General features: G+C 41.0%; 1 protein-coding gene across 9 annotated transcripts in view, besides 1 other annotated feature; it reads right to left on the bottom strand.

The window, feature by feature from the left end:
• DGKI (diacylglycerol kinase iota) overlaps positions 1–26538 on the bottom strand; it is a 465938-nt gene that overhangs the window by 259568 nt on the left and 179832 nt on the right. For all 9 annotated transcript variants that reach the window (XM_047421022.1, NM_001321708.2, XM_047421021.1 and 6 more), the window contains 3 exons: positions 15862–15936; positions 14128–14184; positions 4868–4933 (listed from right to left, as the gene is read on the bottom strand). In XM_047421022.1, coding sequence (XP_047276978.1) covers positions 4868–4933; positions 14128–14184; positions 15862–15936 — 198 coding nt within the window. The remainder of the gene's footprint in view (positions 1–4867; positions 4934–14127; positions 14185–15861; positions 15937–26538) is intronic.
• Positions 1708–2396: an enhancer, noted in NCBI's record as "NANOG-H3K4me1 hESC enhancer chr7:137327058-137327746 (GRCh37/hg19 assembly coordinates)". NCBI's record gives its function as "activates a minimal SCP1, AML or CMV promoter by ChIP-STARR-seq in naive H9 embryonic stem cells {active_cell/tissue: H9 hESC(naive)}" and the evidence as "EXISTENCE:reporter gene assay evidence [ECO:0000049][PMID:30033119]".

The following is a 26538-nucleotide window of genomic DNA, read 5'->3' on the forward strand; positions in this document are numbered from 1 at the left end:
ATTAGTAGAGTACATTGCTTTAAGTTGATAAGGGGACATTCCTGAAAGGCCCAAGTCAGTATTTTCCATTATTTTTATACTCTGTAATCCCTTTCACTACCCATGTAATATCCCAACTGCACTCCCATGAACTAGTTTTAAACACTTTGGCATTTTTGTGTATAATTTACATATTGTACCCTAAGTTCACTCTCAAGTTAGTTTTTAACAATATTTACTAAAAATAAAGAGTAGTTTTGATGTTTTCCCATTTAATAAACACAGCATGCTATTTAAACAATATATGAAAATACATACTATTTATGGACAAATAATTCATATTAATGTAGCATGTTTGGTTAGGGAACTGATATGGTTTGGCTGTGTCCCCACCCAAATCTCATCTTGAATTGTAACTCCCACAATTCCTACATGTCATGGGAGGAACCCGGTGGCAGGTGATTGAATTATGGGGGCGGGTCTTTCCTGCACTGTTCTTGTGATAGTGAATGAGTCTCATGAGCTATGATGGTTTTAAAAATGGGAGTTTCCCTGCACAAGCTCTCTCTTTGCCTGTCACCATCCACATAAGATGTGACTTGCTCCTCCTTGCCTTCCACCATGATTGTGAAGCCTCCCCAGCCACGTGGAACTGTAAATCCAATAAACCCCTTTCTTTTGTAAATTGCCCAGTCTCGGGTATGTGTTTATAAACAGCACGAAAACAGCCTAATACAGGAACTGAACAGTATAAAAAATGTAGACAAAGTTTAACTATGTATTACAGGTTGAACATCCCTAATCTGAAAATCAAAAATCCAAAATGCTTCAAAACCCAAAACCTTTTGAGTGCCAACATGATGCCACAAGTGGAAAATTTCACACCTGACCTCATGTGATAGCTCGTAGTAAAAACGTTGTTTCATGCACAAGATTATTTAAAATATTGTATAAAATTACCTTCAGGCTTTGTGTTTAAGTGTAGCATGAAACATAAATGAATTTCATATTTAGACTTGGGTCCCATCCCCAAGATATCTTATGTATACGCAAATGTTCCAAAATCTGAAAAAAATCTAAATCCAAAAAACTTCTGGTTCCCGGCATTTCAGATAAGGGATATTCAATGTGTATACTGCATTTAAAACTGGCTTCAAGAATTGATGTTGGAAATTTTTAAATTTTGATTTTCAAAAAGTTAGCTTGTTTATTTTTATAACTTTTACATATGAAGAAATAAAAGATAAGCTTTTAAGTTGTGATTTACAAACATATTTTCACAATTACCATAATGCTAGGTTTGGATGTTTGCTTCCCTCAAAAAATGAAGAGTCAAAATAGCCATAATCATTACTATATTTTTTGAATATAGATTTTTTGAAGCACTATAGACAACTCAGTGTTTCATAAATTTTGACTGAATGAAGGCAATGTGTAGATCTAGTGAAGATCAGAGACATGTTTACAGCAAAAGTATGCATTCTGCCTCCAACCATTGATTGACTACAGGTTTGCATTAAACAATATGTGCTAGATCAATTCCATCTGCCTCTCAAGTTTTACTCTCCATCCTTCTCTACTCAATGACTCATTGTAAAGAGTTGGCTTTTATGGATTGCATCAAACAATCCCTTGTGCTATGGTTTCTGTTGGGTTTGGCCACTAGAACATGAAGATATGTGGAGCTGGGTATCTACTGGGTATCTATTTCTCCAGGCTCTAGGTCACCACAGGCTGGCTGAGTCTTGTGACTGAAAGTTGCAGCTCCTGGGAAGGGGTCCTCTCCATCTCCTCACCTCTTCAGGCTTAGCTTGACCACAGCTCTCTGACATTAGTCACAGTGTTCTCCATTTTTTCTTGTGGTTCCACCCACCATCCCCCATGCTTTTCACACATTTTAAATATTCTCCTCATTAAACTCTCATCAAATTACATAATTTGAACTTGAGCATTTTGGCTCTTTTCTGCCTTGACCCTGACTCTTATGTAATCAAGGACTATGAATGACAATGAAAAACCACAGAAGGGTTATAAACCTAGTAGCCTGAGGCATTCGGCTAACGTTAAAGGAACTGAGCAATTAAATCATGAGTTATCTCATCTGATCTCTGTTAAATGCCACACACACTCAGCCAAACACATATTTAAGGCAAGAGAAAATCAGTCCAAACATCATTTTATTGTTTATTTTAAAAGCAGAAATGGAAACCACAAACACTCTTTAACCATAAACACTTCCTAAAAAATCTGTAAAGTTTGCAAGCCATCAGTTGGAAAAAAAAAAAAAAGTTTTGCTAAGTGAAGCAATTATTCTTCACTCCATCCCAATGAGTAAATTATGGAATAGTGTGTGTGTGTGTGTGTGTGTGTGTGTGTGTGTGTGTGTGTATGGGGGATGGAGTGAGGTTTAAAAGTCTATGAATATGGGCCGGGCGCGGTGGCTCATGCCTATAATCCTAGCACTTTGGGAGGCCGAGACGGGCGGATCACGAGGTCAGGAGATCGAGACCATCTTGGCTAACACGGTGAAACCCTGTTTCTACTAAAAATACAAAAAATTAGCCGGGCGTGTTGGCGGGCGCCTGTAGTCCCAGCTACTTGGGAGGCTGAGGCAGGAGAATGGCATGAACCTGGGAGGCGGAGCTTGCAGTGAGTGGAGATCGCGCCACTGCACTCCAACCTGGGAGACACAGCGAGACTCCGTCTCAAAAAAAAAAAAAAAAAAAAAAAAAAGTCTATGAATATGAATAAGAAGGTACAACACTACTGATGAAAATTATGTATAGCACCAATGTTTGGAGTGAATTTTCATTACTTAATCTGTAAATGGAAATAGAGCCATAGCTTTCCTGTCCAGGGTGGAAGCTGGAATCCAAGGAAGGGTAATTTATTATGTGGCAAGGAGACAATCCCACCCATCCCATAATTGTTTGAGTCTTGAAGAATTCATGGAGAAGCTGCATTATAAACACAAGAGATGACTATAATAGTGCAATATTTTTGAAACATGATGTGACAAGCTGGATCACTGACTTCCCCACTGACGACGGACGTGCAGCGAGCTGTGCTCATGGCATGATGGCTGGCTGAGAACACTGGCAGGAAAGGACACACAGCAACTCAGGGTGGAGGAAGCCCAGTTCTTCCTGTTCAGTTGACCATGCCAACAAGAGGCCAGAAGAGAGTGCAATATGGCACTAGGGAACACTTGTCTCAAAGTATAAAATGTTTATTGATTTTCTTTTAATAAAATCCCTCCCACTCCATTATGGCTTACATTATTGAGGTGGTGCCAGCTACTGGGCTCCAGTGAAGATATTTTTCCAAAGTGAAGGACCTATTCATCCAGATTCTTACTACTCTTTACATCTCTGACCCAAAAAATGGCTATGCCTGCCCGGCTGCAGCATACTGTTACCCTCACATGCATGCACACACACACACATGCACACTTATGGGAAAGTTACAGTCGATGATTCTTGAAGTAAAAGAAAATCCATAAGCCCCAAGGCAACACCTTGGAAGAGGTTGATGGACCCAAGAGAGAAAGGTCATGTGAGAGTAGAGGTGTGACCTCCTTTTCCCCAGGACATGTAGGATGGCCAATAAGAATCAGTACAAATCTTTCCACTTCCCCCTTCGGCCTTGTTTACTTTGTTTTATTTCACCCTGCTTTCACCCTGTTTTGTTCATCCTCTTTACAGGATAAAAGAGAACCAACTGAGAGCCACAGGGTTGAACTGGAGAACAAAATACTGGTTACAATGGAGGCCTATGCCCTGGAGGCTAAGGTGTGTAGCCTTCCAGAGAAGACCTTCATAACCAATGGTTACAGCATATTTTCTTCCCAGGCATTGGGCAAAACAGCAAAATTAATGCAATTTTTTCCAAGTCTCCCTCCCTCACCCTCCACAACCATATCTCAGGCAGCCAATATTTCCTTGCATTGCTCTACTGTCAAAAATGCTGCACTGGGCAGCTCACACCAATGCTTGACCCAAAGGAGTCACATGAATAAACAAACAGAGGAATAATTAATTATTTAGGAAGATATTCCCCCCAAATTATCTTGCTGTCTGCCAAATCAAAACTTCCCTTTACTGATGACCATCAGCTTACTATTAATGTCATTTAAATTGGTGGTGAACCACACTATACATACTTATAGTGATATTCGCCACCAGTTTAACCCTCCCAGAGGACCCTGTCATCCTTAAAGTAGATCTTTGTACATTGGAAAAAGCTGTAACCCAAATCTGTTGGGGTCAATGACACATGGAATCTATGGCATTTAATAGTATACAATCACAACACCCCCACCCCTTGCTCCAGCTCACTTTTCCAAGTGGCACTGCATCCTGAGGGACCTATAACCAGCCATGATGACAGAGGAGGTAGATATAAATAACCACAAATAAAAAGGGCATCTCTTCCATGAACTGGATAATGTCCCAAGGGAGCAACACATTTCTAGCTTCTGACCATGTTGTCCTAAACAGTTCCGCCCAAACACAATTTTATATTAGCAAACGTAGTGTTGCTCAAACCCATTGATTTGCTGCGATTGGCCAAAGTACGATGAGCCAGTTGTCTTCATGAAGGCATTTTCACAAAACAGTCATGTTTTCAAAAATCATCAATGAAATTCACTGTAAGAATGCATCCAGGTATCTTAAAAATGTGCTAATTCTTTTTATTAACACCATTGCCTCATGCAGTGAGTTCTAGAACAACTACAATGCCTCTTAAGGAGACCTGGACAAGTAAGGTCTTTCAGAAAGGAACTGATGCAGTGAACACTGGATTTGGGGACAGGACTCATCTACCTCAGTTGCTTGCAGAGGCCTGGGGAGCCTCCTGCGAGGCCATGAGGTGGCTGGGCTCTTACCTTACCACACTGCTTACATTTCCCCTCCTGCCGACGCCTGTGCACCCAGTGATGACGTACAAAATTCTGTGGGAAAACAAAATTAAATGAATATTTTTAAAAATTTATTTCTATAGACAGGGTCTTGCTCTGTCACCCACACTGGAGTGCAGTGGTATAATCATAGTTCACTGCAGCCTCGAACTCCTCTGCTCAAGCAATTCACCCATCTCAGCCTCCTGAATAGTGGGAACTACAGGCATGAGCTACTGCACTTGATTGAGTATGTTTTAATTTGCAAATCTCAAGATTCATTTTTTAATGTGGTAATACTATTGATTTATATAAACCATCATCTAAGCCCAGATGAGCCCAGAAACAAATATTTATGGGTATGACTTGTTTAACAATAAACATGAATCTACGTGGACAAATTAAGTTACTTCTCCATCCCCAAAGATCTTTCATATCTGTAGATTCCACTTCTCATGCCCTCCCTCCACGTCTTCCTAGTGGCAAGTGGCCACACGAGATTGCAGTTACTCTACTGTCTTAATAGTCAAACACTCTGCAGATTTGTGAACACAGTAGAGGACCTTGAGCTGGGAGGTAACTGAGGCAGGTAAAAGAAATACCCAAACAAAAGTGGAAAGGTGAAGGGGAGAAGCTGAAACAACAATATCCAGGTTCAATTTAACAAATAGGTATGTAGTGCTTTATCTGTGGCAGGCAGACACTATACCAAACATTCTAGCTAGAGATAATGTAGATCAAACTCTCAGAAAGAGATCTCCTAATACAAGACATAGACGTGAGAATTATTCACTAGATAGAGTGAAGAAAGAGAAAAGCTGAAGGCAAGAGATGTCAAGGACAAGAGATACAAGCATATCAATGATGTTTTTGCAATGGTATTGTGTTTAAACCATCCTTGGGCACCTTGAACTATTACAGATTAGCTTTCAAGGTCTATCTTTGTCTCAGACTGTAGGAAACACAGAAAGTCCTCTTCCTCCCAAGTAGACAAGCACTCCTGGGGCAGAGTCAAGCAGCGCCATTCACCACTGGTTCTCAGGATACATTACAAGAAAGTCATCCTCAGGACTAGGAATGCAGGCAAGCCCTAATAACTTACAAACAATTCATCCCTCTGACACCAATACCCCTAAAGTACTCATTGTTTTCTTTTGCCCTTTTCTGGGAAAACACACTTTATCTAATTCTAACATGTCTATTGTAGGGTCTAGCCATAACCCTTATTTTCTCTTTAAAAACCACTTGAATATATATTCAATTATTCAAAATTTTCCTACATGCAAGGCACTGTTCTATTAGTACGTACAGATGGACAGAAAATAGATCAGTGTAGAGGGAAAAAAGGTTATATATCAAGGCATGAAATTCAGAGTGACAAGAAACCACTGAGAAGCATTAGCATTATCAATACTGAAATGCCACCTCTATTTCTCTTAATAATGTCAAATCCACTTAAACTAAAACTAAACAAAGACCCTGGAGGAACAATGGTCTTTTAACTATAATCAGATATAAATAAGCACAATGGTCCCACAATTTAGTCTAATGTTTGTCTCACTTTTCCTACTACCACAGTTTAATAAAACAAAGACACAAGCTTAGATTGTCCTAAGAAAGAAGCTAATTATAATAGCTAACACTTGTTGAGTACTGTGAGCCATGCGCTTTAAAAAATATTTTATAAGTAATAATTCTTCTAATCTTCATGAGAATTTTCATGAGTAGAGATGCCACTTAGTTGGAATATATCAGTAAAATCCTATGAGTTGTTGAAATATTGAAATATATGTTGATTGGGAAATTGCAGTTTAGTGCCCCTACCATCTCTCTGACTCCTCCCTTGCATCACCTCAACATTAGAGACCACTTCTACCTCCTCATTATTAAGCAATTATAATGTTAATTTCTGACATAATAGGTCTCCAGGATCCTATTCCAATGATCTCTCTCTTCTGAAAACAAATCATGCTGTCTGAGCAATATTACTGGTTCCCCCAAAGAATCTCAGAATGCTGGGCTGGGCCCAGCTGGTGGTGGTTGTATGTACAATCGTAAATATCCACCTGGATGGACAATTCTGGGTCCTGTGGCTGGCTGTGGCTTTCAAGAAAGTGACGGCAATTCTAGAATAACCTGCCCAGTTATCAGTATCTATCCCATCAGTTCAGTGCAAAAATTCTACTGAGGATGAAGGCACTGGACCCTCTACCTCTTTACTTTGCAGCTGAGGCTACTGCTGACACCTTTAGCATCTGCCTACTCAACCGATAAGATGAGAACCTTAGTCCACTGCCTGCTTAGGAATAAGGGTTAGGGAGAACCAGAGCCAGCTGCCAACTGCAGCATATCCCAATTCGCATTACAGTAGGGCACATTATCAGAGGGCTTGACTTGAATGGTCAACATCATTCTCATTTTACAGATAAGGAAACTAATGCATAGAAGTGGTTACTCAAAATGTAAAGGTCAAAGTGAGGGTCCAAACCCAGACAGGGTGGCAGCAGAATCTGTGCCCTTACCATTGTGTCACTGTGCCTTTCCTCTGTTCTGCAAAACAGGGCTCACGCTATTCAACATGACACACCAACAAATGATTTCAATGACAGTCAGTAGTAGAAATATTGAATATATAAAAATGTCAGACAGTATCATACAGAATAGAAAAATGTAATATAATTGCTGTTAGTGTAGCAGAAGCCGAGGGAAAAGGAACAATATCATTGATGGTCAGAAAAAAATCTGTAATTATTGAGATTATAAATCACCTAATGACTATCAATTTAAGAAGAAACATGTTGGAAACATTTGATGCAATTACCTGTGTGAAATCATGGCTGACTCATGGGATCATTTAGCAAGTAACAGCTCTACTCAAAAGAGTCAGCCAACACTGTCCATAAATCAACAATTATTTAGAAATCTTAACACTGACTTCATCATTTGCACTGCAACACACAGTTATCCCTTCTTCCCAGGAGGTATGTTCTAAGATTCCCAGTGGGTGACTGAAACTAGGGATAGTACCAAACTTTACATATACAACGATTCTTCAGTCTCATAACTGAGAAAACTACTAAGTGATGAATGGGCAGGTAGTGGATATGCTGGACAGAGGGGTGATTCATATCCCAGGACAGAGCAGGATGGCACAAGATTTCGTCGTGCTACTCAGAACAGCATGCAATTTAAAACTTACGAATTGTTTATTTCTGGGATTTTCCATTTAATATTTTTGGACTGTGGTTGACCTTGGGTAATTGAAACCTTGGAAAGCAAAATCATGGATAAGAGGGGACTACTGTATATAATTTGGTAAGCAGATGTAGAATATCATATAGTTTAGTCAGGGAATAAAAAAGAACATTTAAAAATTATTATTTAAATATTACTCTCTATGGCTCTACCATTTATTAAATATTTTTAATATCATCCTTCCTAGAAAATAAGCCGAAAACTAAGGCATGGATTGATAAACTAACTTATACAAAATCACTATCGTAGAAGAAAATGAGTAATTGTCTCCAAACTACAGCTCTGCGATTTGAGATGTCCAGCATCCTTCTGTTCAGAGTTCTTTTTAGGCCCAATATAAATTTATTCTACTGCTGCTTAATTATAGTTTGAACAAAGCAAACATCCAATATATGTGTGTTGAATTGAATGGAATTATCCACCTAATTTCTTTGACGATTAAATCACATAGTTACCATGGAGGAGGGGAGGATCATCAATTGCCTTCATCGATAAGGAAAAAAAGTTACTATAGAATCATTTATTCTAATCCTCATATCCCAAGTGCTTTAATTTCTCACACTCTTTTCTTTTGACCATTATTAAGAGCTCCTAAGTTGCTGAACTGACATTGGATTCAGGATCCTTAACACTGCAAATGTGACTGTTGATATATTGTTGTTAAGATAGCAAAGCAAGGCTTCTAACACCATAAAACCTTTTTATTGCTCGTCAATAACTTCTGAATTATTCATAAACAACTTCAAGTACTGGGCAAGGAAAGGGCTATTACTTACAGGTGTTAAAATATTGGTAATGCATTATTTCAGGGCTTATATTCAGTATTGTTAGCAAAAATACACAATACAATTGCTTGGCTATTTTCAAACAGCCAGTTGAACTGGGATAAAAGACTACAAATTGGGTTCGGTAAATACTGCTCAGGTGATGCGTGCACCAAAATCTCACAAATCACCACTAAAGAATTTAGTCACGTAAGCAAATACCACCTGTTCCTCAAAAACCTATAGAAATAAAAAATTTTATATATATATGTATATATATATATATATATTTCATAGAGTTTGAAAGGACCTTAGAAATCATAACCCAGTCCGTTATGGCTTATGACTAAGAAAAAGGAGATCCAGAAAGATTCAACTTAGATGACTCCAACAAATATTTATTTAAAACTTGTCACATGTCAGGCACTATGCAAATGCCAGGGCATAGTGACCAACAATCTGTGCTCCAGAGACTCTTACCACTTAGTGGAAACGAAGCAGAGGTATAATGTGAACTAGGGTCAAACTAATTCTAAAGCAAATGTTCTTTCATTTACTAAATAAACATCTGAATTAGTAGTAGTAAGAATTCTTAATTTTTAATTAAGAATATCAAATGGGTCATAGTCAGTGAGTCATAAGTTTCATCTTCAAAATGTCCTTTTAGACTAAGAGTTCATAAACATTTTGAGAGAAATGAATACCTTTGTAAATGCATTCAGTCAGCAGATATCCATCAGTGACATACTCTGTGTTTTGGTGCAATTAATTTAGGACAAAATCTAGGAGTGATCTCCCAAAATTTACACTAAAGAAGGGAGATATTCTTTAGACAAGCAAACAGTAATATGCATAAATTATTATGGTATACAAAGTGCCCTGAAAAGAAAGAACAAGACACTTTGATAAAGAACAATATGCTATGTATTTAAAGGTGGTTGTAAAGGAAGACCTCTGCAAAGGACTGGGGTTTGTGTCCCCTCAAAATTTTTATGTTGAAATCCTAAACCCCAACGCAATGGTAATAGGAGGTAAGGTGTTTGAAAGGTGATCAAGTAATGAGAGTAGACTCTTCATGGATGCAATCAGGCTCCTTATAAAAGAGACCACAGAAAGCTCTCTCACCCTCTTTCCTCCACATGAGAATACAATGAGAAGGTGGCAGTCTGCAACCCCAAAGATGGCCCTCACTAGAATTGGACCACGCTGGTACATTGATCTTGGACTTCCAGCTTGCAGAACTGTGAGAAATAATTTTTGTTGCTTATAAGCCACCCAGTCCATGGTATTTCATTACAACAGCCTAAACAGACTAAGACAATGGCTGAGGGGGATGATATTTGAACTGAGGCCTAACTGTAAGAAACAGTCACGCAAAGAGATTTTCAGTACAGCAGTGAAATACACAAATATCCAAAGGTGGGGAATATCTTGGTATATGCCTCATAAATGGAAAGAAAGTTCATGTGGGAGCTGGAGGTGGCTGGAAGGGCAGGCAGGGGCCAGACAATGTGGACCTTTTCATGCCAAGACAGAGGGTTTGCTTTTGCTCTAAGAGTTATGGAAACCACTGGAGAGTTTTAAGCCAGGGAAAATTATATTAGGCTGGCTCAAAAGTAACTGTGGTTTTTGTCATTACTTTCAATTACTTTTGCACCAACCTAATAATCTGATTTTCATTTTGAAAGATCACTCCTTTAAGTCATGGGTGGATTGAAAGTGACAACTGAAGAATCATGAAGCTATTACATTGGTCAAAGGGGAGAGGTCACAGTGTCTTAGTTTAAGGTGCTGATAACAGAATTGGAGACAGTTGGATGGATTTGAAATATATTTTATAAATAAAATTGACAGGACAGGCAAATGAATTAGATGTGGGGAGTCTATGAGAGAAGGAATAAACATGACTCCCCAGTTTTCTCAGTTGAGAAGCCAGATTAACAGCCATCTCATTTCCTGAGGTGCATACGATTTTCTTAAAATCATTTTTATGGTGATGGAAATAGTCTAGTGTTTGATGTATTATATTTGAGATGACTGTGATACATTCAAAAGACATGCCAAGTGGAACTCCAAGAAGGGCAGACTGGAAATGTAAAGTTAGGAGTTGTCAGCCCACATGGTATTTGAAGCCATGAGACTGGATAAGCTCCTCTAACAGGAGTGGGCAGACGGAAGAGAACATAGAAAAGAACTAAGCTCGGAGGGATTTGCAGAGGTTGGGGGAGGAAGCAATGAAAAAGAATAGGAAGGGCCATCTGATGAAACAAGAAGAAAATTAGGAAAGGGTGATGTGAGAAGCCAAGAGAGGAGAGCATTCCAAAAAGGATGGAATATGTAGTATCTTGAATATTTTTGAGAGACTGGATAAGGAAAGAACAGAAAAATAAATAATACCTAATACATTTAGCATATAGGAGATCATAGGCAACACTGAAAAAAGAAGCAATTTCAGTAAATGGGTAGAGTAGATATCAGATCAGAACAGGTTACAATGACTAGAAAGTGACATACCGAAAATAATTTATATAGTTAACACTTTCTGGAAGCTTGGCAGTGACCACAAAACTGAGAATTAGAGCAGTAGGTAAGACACAGTTTGTGGCTAAGGAATGTTTTTGGGTTTTTTTAAAGATAGAAATTATTAGAGTGTGTTTATGCTGATAGAAATTATCTAGAAATGAGGGGATGAAAATATATAAAAGAAAGGAATTTCAAGTCCTTGATAAGAAGACAAGGGAGAATATCCAAAACCCTTATGGAAGGTCTAGCTTCAGAGAAGTGGTACAGACTAATGAAAACCAAAAGCATCTTGTATTAGAAAAATTGCACGATTAAAATTGTCTCTCTTTCTCTCTTCCCCTGCCTCCACATTGACCTATCAATTGAGAGAGATACATATTGGAGGGCAGGAAGCTAAAGGTGGGTATATGAATCCCCTGGTTGGAAAGTCATAAACTCCATCTTAACTTGAAACAACCCCTTCTAGTTTCCTAAATAAAGCACCTCCTTCAATTGAGTCACCACTGAATTACCTTCTGGCCCACACTGTCTGCACTCTGGGTGGCACTGAGGCACCACAGCCCTATCATTCTTCTCCTGCTTTCCTCACCCTGCGCATGGCCCACAACCTTCCTATTGCTGCCATGCTGCACAAACACAATGGGAGAAGACAACTGATGGGGACAACTATGTTTTCTCTTTCTACAACCTCCATCCCAACCTACTCTCTTTCCACATGTTCTCCCAATCCTTTTGCATTGTCACTAGCAATTATAGCATTCATATTCATGTTGTCTTTTTTCATCAACTCTCTTTAAATGTTTGTGATTCTCAGATATCTCCTATTTCCACTCTCCACGTTCATCTATTCCCACAGCTTTCATTACTGTGTAAATAGGCTGATGACTCACAATGCCTGACCTCCAGCCCAGTCTTCCTCATAAGCTCCAAACTCATATACCCACTCAACCTTCTATTGGGCATCTCCAGTTGAGGACAACAGGGATACCTCACACTTCACAGTTCTACAACTAAACTCATTACCTCCCCAGCCCATCCTCAAATCAACTCATTTTCCAACATCTAATCAGTTTTTCAGGTGTGTGTGTGTGTGTATGTGTGTTTGTGTGTGTGTGTGTGCGCGCGCGTGCGCGCACTTAGCAGTAGCTTGGTTTAGTCTGGGCTCCTCTTGTGTCCAAAATCCAATCAATTACTACATCCTGTCAATTTTGTTTCCTTCAAACTCATATCTACCAACGTTATTCTTAGTTCACGTCACCATTATTTCTTGCCTAGATTACTAGCATGGCTTCTGAAAGTTGTCTCTATGCCTCCAACTCTTGAACTGCATGGTATTTCCTCCACGCTGCAGCCTGAACAATATTTGGCTTAAAGTAGTTTAATGCTCACCTCCCAACTATCCTGATGATAAAACACTCAACTTGCAGCATGGCTTACAAGGACCTTCAGGGTCCAGCTCTTGCTATCTCAGATCTCATGTCTTACTCAGTACACCCTCTCTCACTTGGACTTGTGTGCTCTTCTTTCTATCCGGAAGGCTCTTGCCACTCACCTCCTAACCACCCTCCTCTCACTTAACTTAGTTAGCTCCTTAAGGTCTCAGCTTAATTGCCGCCTCTTCCAGGAAGCCCCTTCTCTGACCCCTCTCCTCTCTTTCCTATTTGTTACTACACAGAGCTGATCTGAGGAGTAGACCAGCTGGGGAGGTTTCCAAGGGGTAAATCTGTAAGTGGAACTGAACCTCGTCTCCCTGAGAAAGTATGCTTATCAGAAATCATTTTTACCAGACTTTGTCTTAAGGAGGATACCGTATAAGATGCTAATGTTTGGGAGGCAGTGAGTGACTGCTGGGCAGGCTGAACTACATTCTAGGAGGACAGGTTCTGTTCATTGCAGGCTTTTGTTTCACTGATTAGGGAGTGCAATTTTGGGCCTGGAGCTTAACTGTCCAGAATAACACAGGAGGGTTCTTGCCTGAACTGTGCTTGCTGTCTCTGCTAAATAAAATGTGAACAAATAAGTGCTGTCTCCTCTTGTCATACCTCTGCTTCCCACTAACACATCAGTAACAACTCTTCATTCTAACTTCCTCTTTACCTGTTTATCTTCACGACCAGACTGGAGGGTCAGGGACTGAGAACTGAATATAGTTCTAGCTTATGATGTATTTATTTTTTACTTAACAAATGAAAACACTGAGATTTAGAGAGCTTAGGTGAGACGCCCAAGATCACACACATCAAGGCTGGTTTTGAAAGCAGACCGTCTGACTCCAGGGCTCATAGGAATAACCAGTTACTGTGCTGCCCCATGAATGGCTTATACCCACTCAAAATTGAAAAATGCACTTAAAATCAACCAGAACACATGGCAACAGAGCGACACTCTGTCTCCAAATAAATAAGTAATAAAAGTCTATTTCTTTCTTACCCCTTCAATTCTATCACTACCACCTTCCTCTAGTCTCTGGTTCATTTGGTAAGACCTTAAACTCCCCAGTACATTTTATGAGAATAAAGTCCAGTGTGCACATGTTGAAAAGACTTGAAGATTTTATTGATTGTGCTTATTGATGTGTTAACAAAAAATTGGCATGCAACAGAAAGAGATAGAATTTATTTTTTATTCCCTGGTGAATATCTATGAATCCACTGAATCAATGAGAAATCAAAGGTGATACTTGAAATCAAGCTCTGAAATACTCACTTCTCTTGGTGACCTTGAGCCTCCTTCTCGAAATGTTGGTTTACATCTGAAATTAATCTGTCATTCAAAAAGAAAAGTATATTATATTAGAGATAAGCATCAGACTAGACTGAATTACCTGAAAAAAAAAAAAACAGTGACAGATATTGAGACTGAAAAGCAAAACCTCCAAAGAACAAGGAATAATACTCTTCTTAGTCTTTTGAAATCATCACATTAGATAATCAACAGAGATCCCAGGTGATTCTATATCTCCAACCCCTTTCCTTCATTCTCACAAATCAAATCTAAGTATCTTTAAACGATAATGCTCTTACACCATAAATTTGAGAAACTGAGATAAGAAAGAGCCAGAGGAAAGATACTGGCAGCTTAAACTACCCAGCTGGGTTTCTGATTGTAAAAGTAGAAAATATAAACTTGAGTTTTTTTAGTATTATGACAATTATTCAAAGACAACAGAGTTATTCTTTTTTTTTTTTTTTGAGATGGAGTCTCATTCTGTCACCCAGTCTGGAGTGCAGTGGTGTGATCTCAGCTCACTGCAACCTCCGCCTCCTGGATTCAAGCAATTCTCCTGCCTCAGCCTCCCGAGTAGCTGGGACTACAGGTGCGTGCCACCACATCTGGCTAATTTTTTGTATTTTTAGTAGAGACGGGGTTTCACCGTGTTAGCCAGGATGGTCTCCATCTCCTGACCTCGTGATCCACCCATCTTGGCCTCCCAAAGTGCTGGGATTACAGGCATGAGCCACCACACCCAGCCCAGAGTTATTCTTTATAAAAGGATTCAGCACTGCTTTTCTTTTAGATGTGGAGGTCTCCTAGTAGGCACATTGACATTTCGGTTAGCTACTCGATAAAGTGAAAGGAGCAAAAGAATGAAGGCAGAGATGAGTAAGTGAAGTTGGGGCAGAAAAGAAAATATTAAGATAACATGTTGGTAGTCATTGCCACAAGATATCAGCTAGGATCAACTGGTCATGTCAGTGAAACTACATGAATGTCATGGGGGACTAAAATATTTCAATGCATTTACCCATGACAGCTCAAGAACATAGATAATACACAGAGAAACACACACATTAAAATGTAGTGGGAAGTGTGAAAGGAAAGAGGATGGCAGGCAACTCACTATTGGAGCCTTTCCCATCCCCTAAATGACAAATAAATGGACTTTGCCGAATCCACTGATTCTGGAGGCACACCACCACCGGGATGTCACTTCCAGCCCCACCCACACATTTGAGCAGCAACAGGAGGAGCACTGCCCCAGCAGAGTGAGAGCCGGCTTCCAGCGTGGCTCGCTCCCTTGCAGGCACTTTAGGAAGACGTAAACCACACAAGTCAGATATATGTGAACAACAATTATAAACAGCTTATAGAACTTCTTCCTTCTTAAACAGCTTGTGGAACAGCCTATGGGTGGATAGTAATGCTTGAACTGAGATGATATAATAAGAGAATCAGTGCACACCAGGCTTTTCCATCTAACTGTGTTCTTCCTTTTCCCAAGAGTCAACGTAAAATGATATCAAATTACACTTCAGCAAACAAGAGAGTGAACGACCCTTAAACATTGTCTTTCCATTAGTAATCTGGTAATAATGTTGGACTTCCAGCTTTTTTTTAAGGGCATTGTTTTCAAAAAGTTGGAACTGGAAATTTACACCGGGCCTCTGAAGACCAAATACTTGCAATGTAACAAAACTGCAGCAGGGGGCGCGCTCTTACCTTTTCTAGCTGCTCAATGCAGGCGGTGTGGACGACGATTTTACAGACTGCACACTTCCTCCTGAGAGCTGATTTCTACAATATTCAATTCAAAAGACAAAAAAGAAATGTTAACAGTCTGTTCTGAAGAGTTCCCTAGTATTAAAGTGGGCATATATAATAAATACATAAATACAGCAAACATTGTAATTATTTCTATTACAAAGCAAATTTAAAACTTCATCTTAAATATTGAATAAACTGACAAACTTTATCAACAGTCTCTGCACTCACCAAGTAGCTCCACATCTGCATGATTTAGGGTGGGCTAGATTGTCTCTTCAAATAATAATAATAATAGCTCCAATATTTTGAGCATATAACAAGAACTGGCTCTTTGTTCTGTCATTTCTAAGTTTCAGAACCTTACAATATAGGCATTATTCTCTTCCATTTTAAAATATTTTCTACATTATCACTCAAGTAGCTAAGGGGCAAGACCAACATCCAAACTCAGATCTAAGTTGAAAACAGGCATTCTTTCCCTATTGCCAAAGAGTCTAGATTTCCAGGGGCCAGTCATTTTAGGCTTCTATCCCAGGCATGAGTCTAGACTAAGTTACTTCGGTTTCTGCCCAAATCTTCCAGAAGTAAAGGAAGGCAAGTTCAGCTTTTACGCCCAGGAAACAATAATAAGAATAGCAACAAAAGCAGGAAACGCTGCTAATAGGAATATAGTATTTGCTATCTGTTCTTATAAGCACTTCACAAATGGTAGTTCACTTAACCCTCACAACCCTATGAAACAGGCCCTATTCTTAATTCCATTTCACTGATGAGAAAACTGCCCAAGGTCAGTGAATTAAGGCACAGCAGGGCCAAGTGGTCTGGCTTCAGAGCTCATGCTTATAAGCATTACACAATTCGGCCTCTCTGACAGTCAGTATTAGTTTAAAATTATAATGAAATAAAACTTTTTAAAGTTTATCTTTTTCTCTAATGATAAAAAATGGACTGCATGGAGAGAGATGAATGAGCAGAATCTACATTTCATGACTGCCAGTGTCATGCAGGATCTAAGATAGGAAAGTTCAGCCCTCTCTATAAAGGACAGACTGGAAGGAGGATTTGTATGAATAATTTCTGTGTTTGAGCCTGAAAGAAATGTACTATAACTAAGCCTGTCTGTCAGATGGGCTATCAAAGCATCCAAGTGTGAAAGGTCCTGAGTTCCTGTCCTCTTAGAGATTGCTGGCAACCTTCCCCTTCCGAGGAGTGGTTTCCCCTGCTGAGGTATAATTTTTGAGTCAACTGTGTCAGGTAGGTGAGAAGAAATAAAGCATTGCTGCGGCCAGAGATTTGAAGAGCTGCAAACCACCACTTTGGAGGGGTAGGATTAGGAAAGAAAATGCAGCCTCATAGGTCTTGGACAGCTGCATTCATTCAACATGGGGTATTTACACATTATCAGCCACCAACAAAGAACCTAAAACACTGCAGTACCGCTGCCATGAAACTTGTAGAAGAAATCCACTGACTGAGATTCCTTTATTCTGCTTGCAGATGCTTTTATCACTCTCGGATTTCCTCTTCCTGAGGGAAGAACATGGTGTAGCACATGAAATACATTTGACAATTGCTTTTGCACATAACAATGATAAAAGAAACCAAAGCATCTAGCTACACTACTGAACAGTGTCTTGTTCTACTACTAAAAAAGAAAAGAAGAAGAGAAAAAGAAGGAGGGGGAGGAACAAGAAAACATACAGTAGTAATCGTAGTAACACAGCAGTAGCAATCAAAAGGACAATCAAAAAATTCTATTTTGCTCTACAGGGTAGAGCACCCATAAGCAAATCATGGTTTCCCTTCTGTTTCCTATGGATATCCTGGTGCGAATCACTGCTTTGGCACCACCTGTGGAAAATGCATGGGGCATTTGAGTCACATTGCTAATCAGAGTTATAGCGACACAAAGGAAACTGGAGTTGATTTTAGTCTATTCATTTCCCATGAAACTCCTAGTAAATTACATTGTGGATAAGCAATGCAATATTACCACAGGTAGGCAACCACTTACAGGCTGTGATTTAAGGATGCCTGAAAAGCCTCCCTCCTTGCCAATAACTCCTGTCCTAGTCTAGCTTCGTGCTTGACACTACGCTCTGCATTAAGTTCTATGGAGTTCCAGGGATTTCTTAGTCTGTTACGAAAGTCACTGAAGATGGAAGGAAGATGCGGAGAAAACTCAGGAAGCCTCATGCATTCAATGAAATGCAATGCCTCCTCCTTTGTTTTACAAATCAGGATTCTGAGTCAAAACATCTTTTGCACAAGGGATCTGGGCTAGAAGAATTTGAGAACTGGTGCATTAAGATATGCTATCTCTCAGCCTTCTGGAACGTCATGTAAATGCACTAACATCATTCATATGGAAAAACTGAAGTGCAACGTTCCGCAGATGATAATATATGGAGTCGAGTGCTGTAAGTTCTAAAACTGATTTTAACTGAACTATATTGATTTTTAAAAGATCCTCTTAAAATATATTATGAACTTATGTGCCTTTTGAGGCAGAATATATAAACCATATTCTAAATTTTTCTTCATAAAGACTACAACATGATGCACTGTACAAAGAACAGTCATTTTTCTCTTTCCTGTCCTTCTGTTTGGGTAGAGCTCCTTTTGAGTCAGTGTTGCTGTCTTTTGTTGCTCTCAATTTCCTAAATGGCAGCTTCTCAACAGCTTTTAATCTGAGAAATCAGATAATTACAGTTTACAATCATATGTAAAATTAAGTAAATAAATTCTGAATAAAGGTCCCAGGTCTTTTGCCATAGTAGAAAAGTAAATAGATTTTTAGTTCCTTAATTGAGGGAAACTGTTTTAGCAAATCGGAAATTTTAATCACTGACTTCACGGTGTATGACTACATTTCAACTGGTTAAAGTTATTTGAAGTAGTTGGATAATAAGCTTCCGGACAGAAATTGCCCAAAACACCTAGAATTTTGTGCTTAGTTAGGTTGCAATTTTTCATTTTTAAGTTCCCAGCTATACACAAAGGTAAGATGCAGGAATCTGGACATTCTAAATACTACAAATATTCACTTTTTCCCAAATAACTTATATGAGCCAGTGCTTACTTCTCTACGAAAGGTGATAAATTAAACCAAGAAAAGTCACTTAAAAGCATTCAGTAGGGGCCGGGAGCAGTGGCTCATGCCTGTAATCCCAGCACTCTGGGAGGCTGAGGCGGGCGGATCACAAGGTCAGGAGATCGAGACCATCCTGGCTAACACAGTGAAAGCTCGTCTCTACTAAAAATACAAAAAAATTAGCCAGGCATGGTGGTGGGCACCTGTAGTCCCAGCTACTCAGGAGGCTGAGGCAGGAGAACGGCGTGAACCCGGGAGGCAGAGCTTGCAGTGAGCCGAGATCGCGCCACTGCACTCCAGCCTGGGCGACAGAGCGAGACTCCATCTCAAAAAAGAAGCATTCAGTAGGTTACCTCTTATTCCTTACATTGGGACACAGTTGTTATAGAACCTAGCACAAAAACATAATTTAAACAAATATTGCCTAGAACATGAAACATGTTTAAAAATTAAAATTATTTAAAAAACAATAATTTGCTCTCATCAATGAATTTAAAGGCCAGTTGAGCTTACTGCCTTAAATATCAAACAGCACCTAAGCACCCTTACTAAGGGTTTCCTGATTTTGCTGGTGTTGGTATTCAAAAGAAACTTATTTGTAGGTGTGTGGTACGGGGTGGGCAGAGGGGGGAACATATCCGTTTAAACTAAGACAATATGGAATACAGTATAGATCACAGTCCATTATATTACACTGTTCTAATAAAAACATGACCAACATTTACTTAAATAACAACACAATAATATATATGCTAGGTTTTAGGATGGTGGGCATGATCTCACCAGCAGCCATACAGTGGTTATAAGAGAAAACACATCCTACATATTTCCCATGCTGCAGGCCCTGCTGGCATTGAAAGTAGTGACAGCTCTCCACCAATCTTCAGCTCATAGCAGGCAAGGGAGAAAAACTGTCACAGCTTTAGACCACTGGAGCAGGGAATGGGGATTGAGGAGGACAGAGGCATCAGTGGCAGGCAGTGGTAGAGAGTATACAATTGTCCCTAATAAAGAGATTAATATTGAATCCTATCCCACCCAACTACCTCCCTTGCCTAAGTCCCTGATCTATATGTACCAAGAAAGCTATTTTTTTTCTTCCTTTGAGCAAGATATGTGATTTCTGCTAAGTAACAATGAATATCTGGTGGGAGTTGAGAGAGTTTGATGGAGAAAAACAGGAAAGGAAGGATGGGAAAGATGATGAAAAATAAAGATGAAAAAGAGGGAAGGGGAAAAGACGGGAAAGGGTAGGAGAGAAGGGAGAGGAGAGGGGAGGAAAGGAGAAGAGGGGTGGGTCCTTCAGGGCCTGGGGTTAGCTACTTTCACAGGCCCATGATCTATAAAAGGATTGGGGCCTTTTTGCTGCCCAAGGTAAGTAAAATTAAATATCTGTCATTCCCAATTGTCAGAAGTTTGACACCCAGGAAGCAGGTACAACAAGGCTGGCTGTCCCCTTCTGAATGAGGCACACGGCAAGCTTTATTTCTTCTTGCAGTGGGGCCAACTGCACTGCCTGCTGACTACATAGCTTCTACTGCGGTCCTAAGAGCTCCCACTGAGCTTGCCCACCTCGACAGGTGGAATCACCAGAGATGGGACATGGGGAAGGCAGTAGGAAAAGAGCCAGCATGGCAACCGGTTCTTAGTCTCCCCATCTCAGAGGAGCTCAGAGGCCAGAGGCTGCTGCAGGACCAAAAACACCAGGGCAAAGTCTGAGCTCATGGCACCTCACTCCAGAATTCCCAGACGTAATGCAAGGAATCACCAGCTATGAGGCCACAGTGAGCAAAGGGATGACAGCCAGGAAAGGGGCTTCAGGCAGAAACCAACAATACTGTGAGTGCATAAGGGGGCAGATGGGGCATGCTGGGGAAAGGGCCAGAGGGGGGCCACATGGTGAGAAGCCAAGGAGAAGGACAGAGGAGGTTGCTGGGCCAGGCCTACCCCCAGCTGCCTCCCAGCTTTCTCCCCCATGGTTTCTCTACCCCTTAGCCTCCTAGATGGGAAGATTCACCCCGAGGACTAGAAACCGAGGGAAGGCTGAAAATCAAGCAAAGGGGAAACTGCAAGAGAGGCCAGGAGAGTGCTCTCCTCCTCCCCCTTCTCCTTCCCTTTTAGACCACAAAGCCCGGTCCACAGCAGCATCTTGGAGATGGGTAGGAAGGAGGCGCCATGCAGCCCAGGCAGGACTGTCCTCTCCTCCTCTTCAATGGCGGGGCTAATGGAATGCTTAGGAAAGTGGAGGGGAGGAACCTTCCTAAGCTCTTAGAATGTCAGGAATCTGGTGTCCTCTCAGTAGGCATTGTCTCTCTGGCAACATACACAACAAGATTGTTGCTGTATAATCCAAGGTAAATGAAAACAAGAGTTCTTTGATTTATTTAAAAACCTAATTAGAAGAAATGACAAGCATATTTGGCAAATTCTACTTCTCTGGGGAGTCTGGGATGCAATCTATAAATTGGCATTAGGAAAAATGAAGAATGACATTATCTGAAAGTTCCATTAATATGATTTCAGGGCCAAAGCCCGACCTCCACCATCACTCATGCAGGCTTCCCTTTTTCTTCAAAGGAATATAGAACATTTTGGACAAGCCAGGAGGGTGGCCGGCTGAAGTTCCAGCACACTCCTTTTTTTTTTTTTTTTTTTCGAGACAGAGTCTCACTTTGTTGCCCGGGGTTGGAGTGCAGTGGCGGGATCTCGGCTCACTGCAAGCTCTGCCTCCCGGGTTCACGCCATTCTCCTGCCTCAGCCTCCCAAGTAGCTGGGACTACAGGTGCCCGCCACCACGCCCGGCTAATTTTTTGTATTTTTAGTAGAGACGGGGTTTCACTGTGTTAGCCGGGATGGTCTCGATCTCCTGATCTCGTGATCCACCTGCCTTGGCCTCCCAAAGTGCTGGGATTACAGGCGTGAGCCACCGCGCCCGGCCCCAGCACACTTCTTTTATCCTCAGTATATCACTCATTCTGTCTATGACAACAGGATCTCATGATTCCAGACCAAGGAGCAAAGATGCCACATGTCCGGAGGAGTCTGTGACCCGAGTGGAAACTCAGACCTCTCCTTAGAGGTTCAATTGCAGAGAGACCTCACTCCATGTTAAAAGGTCCCAGCCCAGACCCTGAGTAGTGTTGGCCCATGTTGGAGGGCAGGCCTTCATTTGTAAAGACTCCATGTGTTTGTGCAATGTGATCTGTGGACAGACAAGGACTTGGTAAAGGCTGAAACCTTCTGAGATAGCCCCCAACAACCAACACCCTTGATAAGGGATGGTGCCAAAAGTATCTCAGAATATCTGGAAGAAAAGCAGTAGGAACAACTAGAAGTTGGGTTGGAGACTCTTACAAAGGATACACCAAAATACTCATGCAATGCTCAGATATACACCAATACTCCTGAATCTGTAGATGCTGGGTATCTGGAATCATGATGGTTTGAGTTATCCTACATAAGAGAAGATTCCATATGGCTGAAACAATCTGTTACTGCTGACTTTTCCAGAATATATTTATGGAAATTCAGTCCACCAATTATTTTAACCATCACTATGTGTATAAGACTATGTGAGTGCTGTACAGGATATAAACAGGAGGAAGCTTCTGTCCTTGCAAGAGCTGGCAAGCTACTTGAGGAGACAAGAGGAACTTGGTAGAAAAGGCCATTCACAGGAGAGAGCCACACATGGCGACATGCTCAACAACAGCCCAGACAAGAAAAGCTGTCACCTAGAGGAGGGCAAAATCTGAGGCTGAACCAGTAAAAAGGGTCTAGCAGAGAAAGCAAATTCTTTAATTTGGGCTTAAAATATGTATATTCAAAAAAATCAAAGGCATTCCAGCAGGAAAAAGATCTGAAGTCTCTTTACGTAGTAGGCACCGACGCCTCTGAAAAGGCATGGAGACCTGCTTTGGCATGTCCACTGCGGGACAATTCCTGGGCTCCTGGGTGTCTATGTACAGGAGTCACTGGGCTCAGGGCTGGTGGTTGAGTGTGGAGGTTTGAACGGTGTGTCTGGGGGTTGCTGGCAGCCCTCAAACCTGGGAAGTAGGTACACTGGCTGTGTTAAGAAGCCAGAGGAGCTGTCTATGAGGAGCTTCATGAGAAGGGGAAACAGAACTACGCCCCAGAAGCCATGGGGTTCAAAATTACAGAGTTACAGAGAGGTGGAGATTTCTCTGTGTGTTTCCATGCCGCTATATTCCAGCACTGAGAACCAAGAACACTGCCTGACACAGTTATTCTGAAAGGAAAGGGGGAGGGAAGAAAGGAGAAAGGGCTTCTGACATAGGGCTCCCTCCCCACTTAACCCTCAATCAGCCCCGGTCTGGAGAATTGGTGGCTTAGGAAACATTAGGAGACAAAACCCCCACCGGGACATAGACATTCTCGTAATAAGCAATCCCAAAAGCAACAGTAATGAGGTGCCCTCAGACTGTTTGAGGAATGGAAGCCCTCTGCCCACAATAGGGAAAAAATAGTGCGGCTGGGTGCAGTGATTCACGCCTGTAATCCCAGAACTTTGGGAGACCGAGGCAGGAAGATTACATGAGGCTGGGAGTTCAAGACCAGCCTGGCCAACGTGTCAAAAGCCTGTCTCTACTAAAAATACAAAAAATTAGCTGGGCATGGTGGCGGGCGCCTGTAATCCCAGCTACCCGGGAGGCTGAGGCATGAGAATCACTTGAACCTGGGAGGTGGAGGTTGCAGTGAACTGAGACTGTGCCACTGCACTCCAGGCTGGGTGACAGAGCAAGACTCCATCTCAAAAAAAAAAAAAAAAAAAAAGAAAGAAAGAAAGAAAAAAAAGGAAAGGAAAAAGAAAAAGAAAGCATAGAGGCTGCATGACAATTATAGCTGAACAACTATAATATTTTTGTGAGCACAAATCAGATATCTTCTGGGGACCCACAGGACTATCTGATAGAAGGGCTATTTTGCAGAAGACTGAGGTCTTACATAGACTGCGTAGAGTTAAAAACAGTTGCATCTGTATTACTGCGGCTCATGTGATGCCACCTGTGTCTACAGGTTAGTTAAACCTTGGAATATTTATTTGGGAACAGTTGCAGGAGTGGAGAGAAAACAGACAGAACCAGGGATTACAGGCATCAGACACCGTGCCCAGCCCTGAAAAATTGTTTTGATCTCATAGAAATTATACTCTCCTGTGAGAGACAGACAACAAACAAGAGAGATTAGTATATAATATATTGACAGAAATAAGTACTAAAAAGAAAATTAAAGAGAGAAAGGGAGATAAGAAACATCAAGAGTAGCAGAAAATTGAAGTTGTAGACAGGTGGACCAGGGAAGGTTTCACTGAATATTTTGACAAACACCCAAAGGAAGTGAGAGAGTTCACCACGTGGATATCTGGCGGAAAAACATTCTAGGCAAAGGGCACAGCCATGCAAAGCTCAGAGGCATGAGGATGTCAGGATGCTAAGGAGTGGCTGGGGGCCAGTGTTGGGGAGTAGAGATGAGGTCAGATGATAACAGCAGGCCAGATCATGCTGTGTTGCAGGTCGTGGTTAAGACACTGGCTTTTTTTCCTGAAAGAGAATAAGAAATTCAAGGGTCACAGTGATAATTTCCCGTATGAGGTGATGGGGGCCTGAACTGGAGTGACAAGAATGGAACAAAAAGGAAAGGCAGAGGCACAAGAGTGACTGAGAGCACACAGCCCTCTTCCCAGCCCCACACCAGCCTCCACTAAGGTCAGTGTGAATTCCTTATATTTTGTCCTTAAGTATTTCAGTAGAATCATCAGCAGCTCAGGAGGGCTTCAATCCTACCCCTTGGGCAGCTTTGCTGTTCATGTGTATGCTGGGCTGACAGCATACCTGACAGTCTCATGCTCTATTATGGTTGGAATTGCCTCTCGAGTACCGCAGGAAAACTCACTTGATGCTCTTCGAACAGCGTGTTTTGTTCTGTTCTGAGAAACACATTATCAGAAGCATTCTGCATATGAAGTGTTTATGTTGATGTTCCTAGCACCTCCCCTGAGTAACCTCAGATGTGCAGGTAGATTCTAGATACTAGGCTGAACCCCACCTAGGCAGGCTCAATTCCATGACCTCCCGAGAGACCTACAGGGAGAAAGAAGAGCAGTGCCTGTGTGTTGTTGTTTGAACCAGAAAGAAAAAGTTGTCTATTTCCCAGATAGCCAGTGTATTTTATATTTTTCATCTGAAGGGAAAGAAAACCAAAATCTTACAGCAGAAAGCCAAGGGAAAAAAAAGACTGTGAGCTGAATATAAGAACTAGAAAGACACACAAAAAACCTTTCCTCTTCCTGAGAAGCAGCCAATCGGGGCTCATAGGAGAAACAATTTGGTAAGAACCAAATTGCTAGGATTGCGTTAATTCAAAGCTAACGTTCATGACTGGTTACAAAGAATGATACATCCATCGTGTTTTGAGCACTGGATTAAGTTTGGTAAAAACTACAGTCAGAACAGTACAGGATTCTTTTTAAGGGAGGAAAAAGGTACATGTCTGTATCTCAACAGTTTACCCTTAAACTAAAATTTGTACCAAATCACACTCTTAAATGGTTAAATGTGACTTATGTTAGTGGATTTAATACTTCTTTTTAATGAGAAGAAAGTGATAGGCACAAAGTTTCTCTGATAGGCTTCAACAGAAATCTACAGCAAGCCTGTGGTCCCTGATACTCAGGAGGCTGAGGCAGTAGGATCACTTAAGCCCAGGAGTTTGAGGCTGCAGTGAGCCAGGATCACATCGCCACATTCCAACCTGGGTGACATGGCAGAATTCTGTCTCTAAAACAAACACACAAACAAACAAAAAAACAGAAAGCTACGACGTGAATCTTAGGAGAAGTCTACACCTTGGAATTCATTTGGGTGACTATCGCGTACTGCCACCATCTTTTGGAAATCTTCTTACAATTCAGGCACAGTTATTGAGATATAAAACAAATATTGCAGCCAGTCTTTATAACAAGCATGGCGAAGGGCCTGATAAGTTTGAATGGGTTTGCACAAGTCTAATCAAATGATACTAACAAACTGATGCCCTCAGAGTTGCCAGGCGGAGAGTCATGGGGAATGATACTCACTGTGCCCCTCCATCTAGATTACTGGGCAGCTCAGGTATTCCTTCTGCCTCTTCCCTCATGCTCATGATACATTAAAAAGGGTTCCAGCCTAATGAACTTGAAGAAATCCTTAAAAATCCATAATTCTGTTTCCCACCCTGGCTCTCATTTTACCCAAGGACACTTCATATTTCATCATTCTTATTATTGAAGTTCTCTGTACTTTGTTGCCCTTGTTTCTTGTTTCTGCTTCTTTAAAATTTGCCTGCTTCTCTTTTCTCTTATTTCTTTTTCCCCATTTGTTTTTCTATGCTTCTCAGCTTAGAAGTCAGTATACAACCACAGCCGGTCACTAGTTTCAACTCATCAGATGCAATCTTCCTGATTTTGGCTCTTTACAGGTGGTTTTGTGGCTGTTCCTTGTCATATTTTTACACGCTCTTCAAGGTTATTATTTGTGCCA

Source organism: Homo sapiens, chromosome 7 (genome assembly GCF_000001405.40).
Source record: "Homo sapiens chromosome 7, GRCh38.p14 Primary Assembly".
NCBI classification, from domain to species: domain Eukaryota; kingdom Metazoa; phylum Chordata; class Mammalia; order Primates; family Hominidae; genus Homo; species Homo sapiens.